Source organism: Homo sapiens, chromosome 12, assembly GCF_000001405.40.
Source record: "Homo sapiens chromosome 12, GRCh38.p14 Primary Assembly".
In the NCBI taxonomy this organism is placed as follows: domain Eukaryota; kingdom Metazoa; phylum Chordata; class Mammalia; order Primates; family Hominidae; genus Homo; species Homo sapiens.
The window spans coordinates 25,407,133-25,411,147 of NC_000012.12; the positions used below are offsets into that span (position 1 = coordinate 25,407,133).

Here is a 4,015-nt window from a genome sequence, read left to right on the forward strand (position 1 = left end):
GGTGTGAGCCACTGTGCCCAGCCAGTTCTCTCCAATTGATATACAGGTCAATCTCTTTTTTTAAAAAACATTTTTTTTTTTTTTGAGACAGAGTCTTGCTTTGTCACCCAGGCTGGAGTGCAATGGCACAATCTCAGTTTACTGCAACCTCTGCCCCCTGGCTTCAAGTGCTTCTCCTGCCTCAGCCTCCTGAGTAGCTGGGATTAGAGGCATGTGCCACCATACCTGGTTAATTTTTGTATTTTTAGTAGAGAAGGGGTTTCTCCATGTTGGTCAGGCTGGTCTCGAACTCCTGGCCTCAAGTGATCCACCCCCTTGGCCTCCCAAAGTTCTGGGATTACAGGTGCAAGCCACCATGCCCAGCTGCAGGTCAGTCTCTGTAAGAATTCCTAGAAGGATTTTTGCAGATATGTATAAGATTATTTCAAAATTTTTATGAAGAGGCAAATACATAAGAATGGATTAAAATGAATTCGAAAAAGAGAAATCAGTCTGCTTAATTTCAAGACTGATTTTATAGCTATAGTAATCAAGAATGCATGGTGTTGTCGAAGGGAGAAACAGACAGACCTCAGGAACAGAATAGAGAACCCAGAAATTGCCCCTTACAAATACACCCAACTGACTTGATAAAGGTGCAAAATCAATTCAATAAAGAAAAAATAGTCTTTTCAACAAGTGGTGCTGGAGCAATTGGACATCTATGGAAAAAAAAAAAAAAAACCACGAAAAGAAAGGATAAAAAAAAAAAAGAAAAAATACCTTTGGCCTAAGTCTTTTTTTTTTTTTTTTGAGATGGAGGGAGTCTCGCTCTGTCGCCCAGGCCGGAGCGCAGTGGCACGATCTCCACTCACTGCAAACTCTGCCTCCCGGGTTCACGCCATTCTCCTGCCTCAGCCTCCTGAGTAGCTGGGACTACGGGCTCCCGCCACTACGCCCGGCTAATTTTTTATTTTTTTTATTTATTTTTTATTTTTAGTAGAGATGGGGTTTCACCGTGTTAGCCAGGATGGTCCTGATCTCCTGACCTTGTGATCCACCGGCCTCGGCCTCTCAAAGTGCTGGGATTACAGGCATGAGCCACCGTGCCTGGCCGGCCTAAGTCCTACCTTATGCAAAAATTAACACAAAATGGATCATGGAATTAAATGTAAAATGTAAAGCTATAACACTTTTAGAAAAAAAATTATAGGAGAAAATATTTGGGATCTAGAGCTAGGCAAATAGTTCTTAGACTTGACACCAAAAGCATGATCCATAAAAAGAAAATTGATAAATTAGATCACATCAAAATTAAACATTTTTGTTTTGCAAAAGTTCCTAATAAGAGGATAAGATGGAAAGTTTCAGAGTGTGAGAAATATTTGCAAATTAAATGCAAATTAAAACGACAATGTGATACCATTACATAATTATCAGAATGGCTAGAATTAAAATAGACAACACCAAATGCTGGAGAAAATGCAGAGTAACTGGATTATTCACATATTTCTATTTTGAATGTAAAATAGTATGGTTACTCTGGAAACCTGTATGGGAGTTTCTTAAAAATTAAATAACTGTCATACAACCCAGTCATTGCTTATGTTTAGCCATTTCTTATGAACAAGGCTTATGTTCACACAAAAACCTACACATGAATGTTTATGGTAGTTTTATTTGTAATAGCAAAAACTGGAAGCAACTCTTAGGTGGCCCTTTCACAGGTGATTAGTTAAATATACTGTGATATATCCATACCATGGAATACTACTCAGCAATCAAAAGCAATGAACTACTGACACATGCAACACCGTGGGTGAATCTCCAGAGAATTATGTGAGTGAAAAAAGGAAATTTCAAAAGGTTAAATACCATATGGTTCCATTTATATAACATTCTTGAAATGACAAATTACAGTTGACACTTGAACAACACGGATTTGAACCACACGGGTCCGCTTATGTTTTAATTTCACTTAAATTTTTTTTTTTGTTTTTGAAAGGAAAGGTCTCACATATTCATTACTGAATCTAACCTACCACTACAGATGCAGCAAATACACAGAGAAAAAAAATAGTCCCAATAAAACATGTACAACTGTCCAGATAGTGGTGACATTTTCAGCTTGATATGGTAAGATGGTTGTGACCTTGACGCTATCTCACGTGCAATTCCTTACAGCCCCAGCTTGGTTCTTCTCCATTGTCTCCTTTTGGAGTTGTACCTGATTGTATTACCAGTTTTCATCCGAATCCACTGGGGAATGGGACGATTTTGCTTTTGTTTCTTGGCCAGGAAATGCTTAATCCTGAAAGTCTTGTGAGAAGACATGGTGATAAGTGGAGTCAAGCACAAACCATCATGTCAGAGAAAAAAAGAGAGCTAATTTTTTTTTAATTTTTATTTTTATTGCAATAGTTTTTTGGGTACAAGTGGTTTTTGGTTACACAGATAAGTTCTTTAGTGGTGATTTCTGAGATTTTGGTGCACACACTTTTTAAAAAATTACATTTTATTTGGAGTTAAACGTCGATTCACATCCAGTTGTAAAAAATAATACATAGAGATCCCATGTACCCTTAACCAGGTTTCTCCACTAGTAGCATCTTACAAAATTATAGCACAAAATCACAACCAGGGTGTTGACACTGATATAGTCAAGAACATTTCCAAGACCACAAAAATTCCTCATACTGCCCCTTTACAGCCACATCCACTTCTCACCATCTCCTAACAATTACTAATCTGTTCTGTTTCTATGTGGATGACCCATGAATAATGCAAGGGTTAGGAGACAGTTGAAAACCTGCATATAACTTCTGACTACCACGAAACTTAACACTAATCACCTACTATTGACAGGAAGCCTTACCAATAACATGAACAGTCAATTAACACATAAATAGACTATATCCGCACATATTTTATGCATTAGATAATATGCAGTAATAATATGTCCAAGACAGCTTTGTAGGTCAGTGCACCTAGTACTTCTCTCTCTCTCTCTCTCTTTTTTTAATGACTACAGAGTGGTCTGTTGCAGAAATATAGAATTTGTTTTCCCTATTGATAGGCTTCCACGTTTGTTATGAGTTGAATTGTGTCCTTCACAAAAAGCTATGTTGAAGTCATAATCCCCTCTACCAAGGAATGTGATCTTGTTTGGAAATAGGAACTTTATAAAGTGATCAAGTTAAAATAAGATCGTTAGGGTGGGACCTAATCCAATATGACTAATGACCTGTAAAGACACAGAGACAGACATGCACACAGGGAAGACTATGAAGATTGGAGTGATGCATCTACAAGCCAAGGAACACAAAGATTGATTGCTGGCAACCACAGAAACTAGGAAGAGGCAAGGAAGGCTTCTCCTTCAGCTTTCAGAGGAAGCATGGCCCTGCAGACACCTTGATTTTGGACATCTAGCTTCCAGAACTCTGAGACCATACATTTCTGTGGCTTAAAGTCACCCAGTTTGTGGTACTTTGTTACAGAAGCAGCTCCAGGAAATGAATACAATGATGTTCCGAATTTTTACTCTTATGAACTACTGCAATGAAAAATTCTTATATACATAGCTTTACATGCTCATATAATTTCTGTAGGATGTGTGCAATTTACGAATCATACTGTATGTATATGATACATGTGAGTATGCATATGATACACGATATACTCCCAAATTACCCTTGAGCATTATTTTAATGTGTGAGACCTGGAGAAATTTTATCTGTTATGGGGACTAGGGCTGGAGTTGCAGGTTCCATTGAAGGCCACTTCCCCGTATGGTAGTTACCGTACTGCCTAGCTAGACATTGTAATCTCAGTTATGTGTAAATAAGGTATTATTGCTTACCAGTTAACACTGACTTATTCTTAGAGAATAGTCACATTTTTGTACTACCCATCTTTGGATTCAATAGCAGAGACAAAAAACAGAGGATTTAACAAATACTTCAGAGCCAGCCTTAAGTCTAATTTCAGTCAAAGTTTGGGTTGGTCTTCTGTGCTCCTAGACTGACTTTTCTAG

At 37.9% G+C, this 4,015-nt stretch overlaps 1 pseudogene; it reads right to left on the bottom strand.

Moving 5' to 3' along the window:
* Positions 1,978–2,362, bottom strand: RPL39P27 (ribosomal protein L39 pseudogene 27; annotated as a pseudogene).